This window comes from Homo sapiens, chromosome 2 (genome assembly GCF_000001405.40).
Source record: "Homo sapiens chromosome 2, GRCh38.p14 Primary Assembly".
In the NCBI taxonomy this organism is placed as follows: domain Eukaryota; kingdom Metazoa; phylum Chordata; class Mammalia; order Primates; family Hominidae; genus Homo; species Homo sapiens.
In genome coordinates this window covers 242068602-242080601 of record NC_000002.12, presented here as the reverse complement: position 1 = coordinate 242080601, position 12000 = coordinate 242068602, and the positions used below count along the sequence as shown (strand labels likewise).

Sequence of the window (12000 nt, the reverse complement as noted above, 5' to 3'; positions counted from 1 at the left end):
ACTCACCCTGATCTCCTGTCCACCGTGACTGGAGGGGAGAGGCAGCTCTCTGGGGTCTCCTTCTAAGGGCACTAATCCCATTTACAAGAGCTCCCCTCCGTGACCTCATCACCTCCCAAAGACCCTGCCTCCTAACACCGTCACACGGGGATTAGGATTTCAGCACAGGAATCTTGTGGGGGAACCAAACATTCATACCCTGGCCATGGCCCAGGTAGCCAAGTGCATTATGTCCGGGGTGAGCTGAAAACCCAGCTCTTCCGAAGAGGGGCAGGAGTGTGAGGAAGCCCTTACTTGTAGCATTTGCTAATTTCTGTTATGTATAGACTCCAACCATGGCTAATTTCACACTGCCCATGAGACAACACTGAATGAGGAGGCGGGAAGGGGTGCACTTGGTCCACTCCCCCAAGCCGATTCCAGCCACCTCCAGCACCCCACTGGGCCTGTGCCTATTGTAAACTATGAGAGCTGTTGGTGCTTTCTGTTCGTTAATGAGTCTTAATTCTAGCACATCTTGAGAAGAATGTTTCCATGTGCCAGATTGTCCAGGAGTGGGAATTTTCCAAGTTTCCAGTTAGGGCCACTGGTTGTACAAATGATGACGACCGGCCACAGATGGTTGGTCCCAGGGTTTCAGCAAAGAAGCCGGTAAACTGAAGGTAGTGAAAGTGCACGTTAAACAGCATGGGTTTTTCCAAGCAGCTTCGTCAGCAGAAGTTTATTCCTTTTTGATTGAATTTAAAAATACAGAAAAAAATAGAAAGGCAATATTTTCTAATGCAACTGGTCATAGCAACTCATTATGGTGATATGCTGCATGTTCTGGAAAATTAATTTGGGTTATAGAAATAATATGATGAAATGGTTAATGGGCATTCTTCCAATAACTTCTGGGAGCAAAAGAAATTAAAGCCAATTTAACTAGCAGAAATCCTTACTAAGTTAGAAGAGAAGGTGGAACTGAATAAGTGAAGATGTCAACACAAATGATTCTTATCTTTTGGAGAAAGTGCCTGATGCACACATGGAAAAGGTAAAATCAGAAGGTAGAAATTTAGCTTCTCTATTTAGGTGAGAACCTCCGCTCCACCGGGAGGGCTGAAGATGGCAAGATGGAAAGGGGGATGGATTCATGCCAGCTGGGGTCTAAGGGGGATGGATTCATGCCAACTGGGGTCTGGATCTTCAGAACCAAGTTGGTGAAACAACTTGGCTTGAGGAATAAGTCTGTATAAAGGCCAAGGTTTATTTCGGTATATCCCAGAACCCAAGCTTGCCTGGACAGCCAAGTTCAGTGTCTCTGGCTAGTCGTAAATGAGGGAGGCACTTCCCAGCCTAGTAGCAGCCTCTTCTCTATTTGCTAGCCCACATTTTCCCCTTCCCAGGTGTCTTTATCCACCTCCGTGGATAGGTGAAGCAAAGAATAGCAAAAATACCTACACTTCTGCCTGTTTTCCTAAAAATTCTCTACACTTTTACTCCAACATAACCAGGGCACTGATGGTGCAGTCCACATGTGCATAAGTTTGTTGTCTAAACTTCTAGGAGGGAGCCCTGCTGAGCAATTAGAACACAATGTAGGGTCTTCTAAAGATGACCTTAAAGGGATGAATAACAGTTAAAATACTAATGTCTCCACGTGAATCTAAGAGAATTATCAGTGAATTTACACAACAATTTCAAAAGGCAGAGACATTTGGGCACCAACATTGGGGTTTTTGTCTTCAATTAAACTCCAGATGAGCACTTCCTGGTGTCAGGAGTGGGCTCCATTTTCTAGTCCCACCAAAGCACTGGTGGGGATATTTCCTTCTGAGTCACCAGGTTCTTAATCCAATGCCCCTCCCTCTCATATGGGAAGGCGCTTGCACATGTTCTGGGCCATGGTCAATACAGGGCTCCCTGTGTAGCTACCTAGGTGGGACTTGGCAATGTCTGGTTTCTTTCTGCTCTCTGATCCATGAGTAATGCATAGGCAGCTACTGACGAAAATTCCAAAGCTCATTGATGGGAGAAGAGCAACTAACGGGGCCACTAGGCATGAGTGACTTGGTCAAGCTGCTCAAGTGGTGTTGCAAAGACTGAAGACATTAGCTTAATTTCTGTGCATTGATTCTGCTTCCTCATGTTGTACTGTTCCTGTTTGGGAAGAAAAAAAAGGAAAATTTACTCTTTCTTCCACTTTTCATTTCAGCTAAAAAAAAAATCCTACTTCTTTTCAAGGCAATGTGGATGCTGTAGTCAACTAGTGAGTGCAAAGTCATGCAGAAGGAAGTAGAGGAAAGAAACATAAGAATATTATTATTTCGAGATTTTTTTGCCCTACTGGGAGCAAATTACACTAATAGAAAAGATTCTGCTAACATTATGAGCCAGACAGCCTTAGAGGTCCATGACAAATGGCAGGTATTTTAAAGAAAGAGCCTGAGAAGAAAATAAATGACATACTTTGTGTAGATGTTTCTCCTTCCACTGAAGGACAACTGTACAGTCTACAATACTTGTTGAGCTATCAGACTTTAAAAGAGCACTTATAAGAAGGAAACACAGATTTACTGTGATTCTGGCTATGATGTGTGAAGTGCCCTCCGGTTTTACCTTTTATTATCCTGAGATGGAAGGAAAATTGCCCAGTAAGACAGTATCTGTGCAGTATCATACAAAAACTGTATCTTTTAAGTTGAAAAGTTGGCATGAGATGAGGCACTTCTCAACCTGAGGACACCTTGACCTGCAGGTGTCTTTTACAGTGTGAGTGGTTCCTCACCTTGTCAAGGCTTTGCTCAAAAGCCACTTCTTATTAGCTCTACCCTTACTATTTCAGTTAGAGCTGCCACTCCGCAGACTCAGGGACCCCTCACATGGGCTTATTTCTCCACCTTTTAACATACTGTGTCTTCTACCTATTTATTCTCTCTGTCTCTACCCGCAGGACATAAGCTTCACCAGGGCAGAAATTTTTGTCTCTTTTGTCACTGCTGCGTCCAAGTTCCAGGCACATAGCAGACACTAAACAAATACTTGGTGAATAAATGAATGAATGGACAAATTACAGAACACATTTCTCATAAGCAGTCTTATCTGTGGATGTTATTGTTCTAGGCCAGAAGAGTCTGTTCATTACACGGTGTAACTGAAAGAATGCATGAAGAAGGTTGGTAAATGGAGATGTGCAGATTCTGTTGCTGTTTTACTTACTAAAGTTTGACAGTCTCCTTGCTTGTTTAATACAGCTGTAGAACATTAAGATACTGATTTGCTACCATTGTCAGTACTTTGTATGAAGCTTTTCCTATATTAACTAGAGATTCAAAGCAGGGAAGATGACTAATAGGAGAAATGTGGTTATGAACAATATAAGAGGTTGCAGAAAATAAAAAGATACAGGAAAGGAACCTGAAGAAGAGGAAGCCTCACCCCGCACATTTATAAAATAGATGGGTCAACTCGAAGGGAGCAAATAAAATATGTCAGCTTGCTATTGATTAAATAGGCTTTGACAAGCCCCTGGGAAGTGTATATAATGTGATTTCTATGAATGAGGAGGCCAAGAACCAAACTATGGAGGATAAAAATGCCTCTCTAAAATTATTGCTTAGAAAGCAGACAGATTTCTTAGTTGCACTCCTATATTAATTAGTATATTATTACATTATTAATTAATATCATTTTGCTGAAACAATATAGTAGGTGGCATATACTATATGCTTAAGATTTATTGCATCAATAAATGGATAAAGATAGAAAAAAACCCAGAAAGTTCAGACAAACATAAGGAAGACACATTTAGAAACCACTCATCATTCCACCACTCAGAAATATCCACTGTTCTTTTTAAGTGAAGCCCTATTTTTAAGCCTCAAATTGTTATAAGGGAAACCACCATCTGTGGAGCTGAAGCCATCATTTGCAGAACTCCAGCACGGCAGATGTGCTGGCGCTGTGTTCCTGTATTTCAGGGTCCTCTGCACCATGCTTCTCCACCTGTGGTCCCCAGCTGCTTGCACTAGAGTCACCTGCAGTATTGTACTATTTATTCAAATATGGATGCTCAAGCCCTGTCGTGCCTACACAGATTTTCTGGGGTGGGGTCTGGGCATAAACAAGCAGCTTGTTGCCCTAATGCACAGCACCGCCTTCACCCTGGGTCTAGACACACGGCTCCCAAGTCTGCCAGGCTGTGCACCCAGGCTCACCTGCAGAGCTTGCTAAAGCTCTGGAATGTACCTCCACCAGGTGTCGTTCATTTTAATGGTGGTAAAACCTGTGCCCTCCATTATCAAACATCTTTCCAGCTGATCCTGGGTAGACAGGCTTGGAACCCTGCTACAGATCAGTGCATTCCTACCTGACTTTGAAATGCTCAAACTCTTTGTTCCAGTGACTGACTGGGCTTTCAGTTAACATGTAAAGCAAATAAAGTGTTATTGCTCTATTCAAATCAGAGAATCTGGGCAGACTCAGGCTCCCCAAATCTCCACACTAGTCCTAAGGGGCTCTGGGTGAAAGGCGGTCTTGATGGTGGCCTCACGTGGCTGGGCTGAACTGCAGCCTCTGAAGACAGCACCAAGTCATTTTCATGTATTTGACCTCCCACAGGGGACGTAACAGAGGGTCTGGGTGTGGTCAATATGCCATAAACATTTGTGGAATGAATACAGCACAGGAGGAGGAAAGCGTAACATACTCGGATGTCTGCCAACCTCCAGGCGTGGCCCAGCTGGATGCCAATATTCAATTCACCCTTTGCTCCTCCTGTGCTGAATGGCCAGGTACTGTGTGACCCAGGTGGGTGCCGGTAAGAAGGACAAATGAAATGCTCCTGGCTCTACCATATAAACCCTGTGTGCCTGGAAAACATTGCTTGATGTCCTATTAAGAATGTTGGATTCCAAGAGCAAATAAGCATTTCCTGCAGATGCTATAAATAACAGAACGACCACAATTTCTGAGGTAAAACTAAATATTAACTATTTCTGTATGCTTGACCCAATGTCAGTTTCCAAGAGCACTTTTCATAGTGGGTACAGGGAAGTGATGAAAATATATTAGACAGCATTTTGGTTGAGAAAATAGGGGGTAGGAAGGATTCTTGGCAGAGCTGTGCCCAGAATTCCCTGTGGTCCTGCAGACGCTTGGGTCCTCATTGTGGTTTGCTGTGGCCTCAACATTCCTCTGGCCTTCTCCCAGGAGGAGGTGAGGGAGAGATCAGTGAAGTTGCAAGTAGTTACACCACCCAAATTAAGACAGAGAACAGCAACCACGTGACATGTGTATCTGCCAAAGGGAATGGAAAGAGGTCTATGTTACATTGTTGATCCTCCTGTCCCTTCTCAGGGGTGTCAGTCAGAGTCCCACTAGAGAAGAAACAAAGAACATTCAAGTTGGGATCATTTAAGGAGTGTTTAATAAAAGGACAGTGTACAAAATTGTGAGGAGGGTTTAAGAAAACCACAAGGGGTGGTGCAGACACCAGGCTGGTAACAGTGAGGCCTGATCCCCAAGTTGGCACTTGGAGCAGAAACAATGCCAGGGAGACGTCACCAGGGCACAGGAGAGGCCGTTGCACTTACACAGGTGTGCAAGGCAAGACTCCCTGAGAACCTTCAACAGCAGGTTTATGAATATTATGGGACAATGGCTGCTTCTCCTTGAGGAGGAGTAGAGAAGCAAGCTTGCTTACTGTTTCTTTTTCTTTTCTTTTTTTTTTTTTTTTTTGAGACAGGGTTTTACTCCCGCGGCCCACATTGGAGTGGATCGGGGCAATCTCGGCTTACTGCAGCCTTCACCTCTCAGGCTCAAGTGATTCTTCTGCCTCAGCCTCCCAAGTAGTTGGGACTGCAGGGATGCACCATCATGCCCAGCTAATTTTTGTAGTTTTTGTGTAGGAGGGCTCTCGCCACGTTGCCCAGGCAGGTCTCGAACTCCTAGGCTCAAGCAATCGGCCCACCTCCGGCCTCCCAAAGTGCTGGGATTACAGGCGTGAGCCATGGCGCCGGCCTGTTTACTGTTTCTGTGCATGTGAACGTGCGTCCTTTCTGAACTCTCACGGGTTGATGGCTAAATGTGCCACTAAATGATTTAACCCAGGGTTTAGAAGCCAGCCCTCTGACACCTTAACATCAGAAAGGCAGTTCTCCTAGAGTCAGGCCTGAAACAAGCATTCTTCCTGGGAAACACCCGTTATTGTAGAGGGGCCTGTAGACAGGGAACTGCGGTGGTTGGAAGGTGTGCGCACGGCCCTGTGATTTAGGACCAGAGTTTCCAGAGCCTGTGCCCTGTGCCATGACCTCACAGAGTGCTGCTGAGTTTGTATCTCCCCTTCCCCCTTGGGTGGGCCTGGAAGGCCAGAGGGGGCTGGAGTTGGGGTTTGCTTTTCCCCAAGTAGGTTAGACTGATGAAAAATTTGGGTCTGTTAGACTCTGGTGAAATAATTCCCCCTAAAGCAGCCCTCATGAGAACAGGGTGTATTTCAAAATAATCCTTTTCCCCTGGCTGTAAGTAAGTGGGGATATTTCCTCCCTCCCTTTTTTTTTTTTTTTTTGAGACAAGTTCACCCTCTGTCACCCAGGCTGGAGTGCAGTGGCGCGATCTTGGCTCACTGCAACCTCTGCCTTTGGGTTCAAGCGATTCTCCTGCCTCAGCCTCCTGAGTAGCTGGGACTATAGGCGCGCGCCACCACGCCCGGCTAATTTTTTGTATTTTAGTAGAGATGAGGTTTCACCATGTTGCCCAGGGTAGACTCAAACTCCTGAGCTCAGGCAATTGGCCTGCCTCGGCCTCTCAAAGTGAGCTGGGATTACAGGCGTGAGCCACCGCGCCTGGCCGATTTTTCCTCTCTAATGTGGGAACCTGGTCGAGCTCTCGGAGGTAAAATTCACCAAGCGCAGGTCCCCCATGACTGGGTTCCCCTGGAGTTTTTCTCTCACTTGTCCAGGTGGCATCTCCAGAAATTCATGAGGGGCAGCTCAAGTCCCTGGCACTGGCCCCGCAGAGGTTCTGCTCCTGTCAGCTGAGGTTCTCAGAACCCACTTGTCTGTGTCTCCAGATTTGGGGGCCGTGCTTTGCCTGGTGACTCAGTTCTCCGACGGGTGAAGAAGAGTTGTTGATTTTCAGTTTGTTCATCCTTTTCCTTCCGTGTGGATGGGAACTGGACTGGACCCTGGAGCCCGGAGCCAAGAAGTCAGGAAGATGATTCCACAGGAGCTCAGGTGTGTCTGTCGCCTGCACCCATGGTCCCTCCCCGAGAAAGCAGACCCACGGCCCCTTCAAGTCCCTCCCTCCACACTGCCCACCCTGCAGCAGGGCCTTCTTCATTCCCCTTCACCGGTGCTCACTGCAGGTAACAGAGGGGCTGGGTGTGGTCATTGTGCTGGACCCTGGAGCATCTGGGCATGCTCATGCTGATCTGGGCATACACCGCTGCAGTGTCCCTGAGAGAAGGAAAATAATCCAATAGAGACAAAATATATGTTTTTTTAAAAAAGAGGATCACCTGAAGGATGTTATCAGCAGCTTCTTAGCAGTGCTCATTTCACCTGCAGAAGCAGCTCTCTGCGTTTTGATTAATTCATTACTGGCTCTGAGATAAGGCTAGGACAGTCTGTATAGCCGGCTTAGAGATTAGGAAAAAACATTTCTATTGCTGCAAACTCCTTCCTGCTAATCTTCCTTCTGATCTACCATGGGCAGGGTGCACGGGTGGGAAATGCATGCAGCCATTCCACCCGTGAAGACGAACTAATAGAAATCCAGGCTTCTGAAGAAGGTGCCGCGGGGGCAACAACCCACCTTGCAGCAGGGTTCTTAGCAAATCCCACAACACAGAACTGAATTGTGTAGCACAGCTTTACTGGCACAATGAGGGTCAATGACAGGGAAGCGTGTCGACACCAGCTTAAAAACAATCAGGGGTTTTTGCACACCAAGACAACACCTGGCTGCTGGGGAGGCTCAGAGTTGGGGTGCTCAAGGGGGTATGGGGCCGTTCTAAATGAGCTCCCATCTTGGAGGCTGCTCTAGAAGCTAAGAACTTGCAGACCTGACTAAGGGCTGTAAACCTCATTTTGGAGTGCAGAATCCCAGGCTGTGGTCTTGGAACCCCTGGGAATATGTTGAGTTGTCATAAGGGCCCTTCAAGCAACTGTGGTCTGAGACTGACATGTCTCCAGGTGTGGTTTTGGGTCCACCAAGGTGCTTAGATGCTTTTGTGATGAATTAAATACAAATTCAGTAAAATGTTACTAAACAAAGTGCCTTTTTGTCCTTATGCCCTTTCCCAGTAAATATTCTGAGAACAATAATATCAAGTATGTGTTCGCGAGAAATTTTGAGATAAATGTGTTTCATGCTGGCAGAGTCAGGAGCCACAGCAAAAACAATGTGAAGACGCATTCCGCCAGCTCCTGGGCGGGGAGGTGGTACGGGAGTCGGGCTCTAGCCCACCTGGCTTGGCAGCTGGCCCCCAGCAGCCCGCTCAGCCATCGTGCCCCGCTGGGCACTGCCCCATCATGGTCCTCAGTGTCTTCCCTTGGGACACTGGTGTCTTAGAGATGCTGGGGCACACATGGTGTTCACAGCCTCACATTTCAGGAATCAGAATGTATCTTAGTTACATGGCTTGTCATAGTTTAATTGGAAGTGTTTTTCCTCTCTCGGTTCCATGAACGCAATGGTGTGTCTACAGTCTAGAGCATCTTCGTGTGAGTGGAGCACAGTTGATGCTGCTGGAGTCACTGGAGTGCTGGAGCTTAAAGGGTGGCCCAGTCTCAAAGGGCACACCAGACTCTGTCCTAAGTCCAGGGACAAATGCTCACAGCTCCCTCAGCCACCCCCACATTGCTACGAGAGGAGGACTGCCTTGTCCCTGTTTTACAAAAGAGGAAACTGAGGCACAGGTGGGTGAGGACTGGCCTGCAGGAGAGCCAGGCCTGCTTGCTGCACATCTGCACCATAAGCCATCTCTACAGAGGGACAGACCGAAGCTGCCCAATTGACCCCCACACACAGTCAGCCGCCGGTCAGCTGCTGCACTGGTGATGTCACTGAGAGGGAGAATCTGCTCCCACGGCTGCATCTCCTGCTGTCACCATCTCCTCTAAGCCTCCACTTCACTCAGCTTCATTTAATGGGGGACATGTTCGTCTGTTCACAAACTCAACAAATGTCAAGTATTTCCTAAGCGTAGGCCCTGGGTTGAAGCCTCAGTGTGGGAATAAACAGGTTCGTGTCCCCATAGGGGTCGTGATCTAATGAGAAGAGAGACCAATCACATCACTTGGCTAATAAATAACAGGTTCTGAGATAGCTGCTGAGAGCGACAAGTATGGGGGCTATGAGAGTCTGTAAACCCGCTCTGGAGCGACAATTATGGGGGCTATGAGAATCTGCAAACCTGCTCCAGATGGAGAGGCCTGGGCTTTTTGTTCACCTCAAGTGTTGCATGAACTCTGAGGTTGAGAGGCACTTGACAGAAATGGCCGTGCTTACAGGAGCAGGGCAGACAGTGGAGAGAAGCAGAGAATGCGACGATCTCTTCCATGGGAGCCAGGCAGAAACCAGGGAGCAGAAATGAGATTCACAGCAGGCGGGAAGGCGGGGAACTGCTGCCTTCAGGCAGATGCCCATGGTGACAGCCAGGCAGAAACCAGGGAGCAGAAACGAGATTCACAGCAGGCAGGAAGGCGGGGAACTGCTGCCTTCAGGCAGATGCCCATGGTGACAGCCAGGCAGATGCTGGCACAGGACCCACGCGCCCACGGCGCCCTGCTGGGGCTGGTGGAGCAGCCACCCAGAGATGCACAAACCCTGATCCCCAGAGACTGAGTGTGTTGGGCATGGGGGAAAGGACACCCAGCTGCAGGTGGACTCAGGCTCCAAGCAGGGCCCTTGGGTGGGAGTTACCCAGGGTTACCCTTGGGGTCCTCATGTGGGAAGGACGAGGCCATCACTGCTGTGACCATGGAGGGGCCTAGCCAGGACCAAGGGCCTTGGAGCCTCTGGCAGCTGAAAGAGTGAGAAGCAGGTATATCAATTTTATATGATGCCACTTAATCTTTTTAGAAAGAATATACCTACATGAAGTAAGGAGAGAAAGGAGAAGGGGAACTCATGACCAACTCTGTGACCTGGTGGGGCCCAGGCCTCTGGTCCTCTCCAGACCCCGTGGGATGCAGCTGTGGTCGGTACAGCATCCTCTCTTCACAGTGACCATTAGGTAGCAATTTAGGAATTCTTGACCCCAGTGTGAGGTCCACTTCAGTAACAATACCAAATTGTCACGAACACACAAGCTGTCACTTTAAGAGGAGCAACGGTAAACTTGCTGAACGAAAGTGAACTTATTAAGTCATTGACCTCTGGAAAAGAATGATCCGGAGAGGGGTGTGTGTGTGGCTGATCTTCCCGGGCTTTGTGGCAGATCACGGGGCCCTTAGGAGGGAGGGGTCAGAAACCTCAGAACAATGTCTCCATTTCATCGGAATGGCATGAAATGATTCCAGTTAGAAAAGAACGCTGAAGGTCAAATATGATGCAAGGCACTGGATGTATTTGCTAATTAGCATGTTAAAGAATGAGTCAGCTACGGGAGCAGGAGTGATCGCTAACCCGTAATAATAATCTGACTCTAATTGGAGAGCCGCCCTTTGGAAGCAGAGCTTAGAGAAGCAATTTGCAGAACACATCAAAAGAGAGATTTAATCACATGTCTTTCTATTTGAAAATGTTAGCCTGTCGCTGTGTTGACATACAATCATTAATCTACCAGGTGAAAGATAGGAAGCTCAGCCCGCCCACTAATTCTTTTCAAAACATATTTTCTCTGATTGCTTGTTTTCTAACCAGGACACTGACTGTGTATGTGGCAGTTATCTTCCTGCTGCTAAACCGTTAATTGTTTAAATGTCCTGAGGTGATAACACGGAAAATCAGACGACTGGGAGCGTCTCAACATAAATGATGCAGACAGATGGAAAACAGAGCCCACATTTTCAGCCTTGAAAGGCAGCTCAGTGCCAGGCGCAGGGCAGAGAGGAGATATGGTGTGACCCAAGCAGGCTCCCTAAGACCCCAGGGTCACAGGCCCCCCCACGCCCAAGCTCTCTGTCCCTGGCGCATCTCATGTCCACAGACTCAGCAACGAGCTGGGCAGGGAAGGGAAAGAGCAGATGGACAGAAACAGGCCCAGCCAGGGCAGAGTCCTGTCGCCGATCCCTGCCAGGCCCAACCTTTGTGGGATTCCCAGGAGACCCCCTACCAGAGGTGAAGTTTGGGGCAAACCCGTGTGTCACTCTGCCTGAATGCCCCACCCCATTGACCTACTCTGTGGAGTACTTGTTGCCCCAAAGCCAGGTTCTGCCCCAGTGTTGGGTGCAGATGGGCACCGCAGCTGAGGGGCACTGGGAAGGAGGAATGGAGATGCGGGAGGCGAGAATGCACCTGAGTCCATAAACAGTTTCCATTGTTCATGATCAGGGTTTCAGCCTGTGATGAGGTGGACAGGAGCGAGAGGCCACCTCCACCCATTGGTGACCCAGGAAAGCTGAGAAGAGGAGAATGAAGTGAAAGAGGAGGGTAAGAGTGTTGAAGGTGTTCAGGGGAGCAAGCCCCGGTCGATGTGTTCTTTCCACAGCTCACTCCCTCGCCCTGCCTCCTGCCGGGCCTAGGGATGTAGCTGGTTCAGCAGAGCTGCCTCCTTCCCCAGAGGAATGACACCAGCCAGGAACCGCACAGGGCTACGCAGAGACACCAGGAAACAGAGGAACGGCACCAGCCAGGAACCACACAGGGCTACGCAGAGACACCAGGAAAAATCAAACACTTAGGCAGGAAAAAGACATTAGGCAGATGGAAAGCATACAGTGCCCATAAATATCAAGAACACGAAAATGCTGCCAATTATCACTGCTCTTATTCAGCAACACATTGAAATCCCAAACCATTGCAATACAATTCAAAATTACAAACAAACAAACAAACAAAAAAAAAAACCCAAAT

General features: G+C 47.9%; 2 long non-coding RNA genes across 2 annotated transcripts in view; one reads left to right on the top strand and one right to left on the bottom strand.

Moving 5' to 3' along the window:
- LINC01880 (long intergenic non-protein coding RNA 1880) overlaps positions 1–12000 on the top strand; it is a 36455-nt gene that overhangs the window by 3537 nt on the left and 20918 nt on the right. The gene's annotated exons all lie outside the window — the stretch shown is intronic.
- The window catches only part of LINC01237 (long intergenic non-protein coding RNA 1237), a 197360-nt gene continuing 187239 nt past the window's right edge, over positions 1880–12000 (bottom strand). The window contains exon 4 of the long non-coding RNA NR_110220.1: positions 1880–2142. This is a non-coding gene — a long non-coding RNA (long intergenic non-protein coding RNA 1237). The remainder of the gene's footprint in view (positions 2143–12000) is intronic.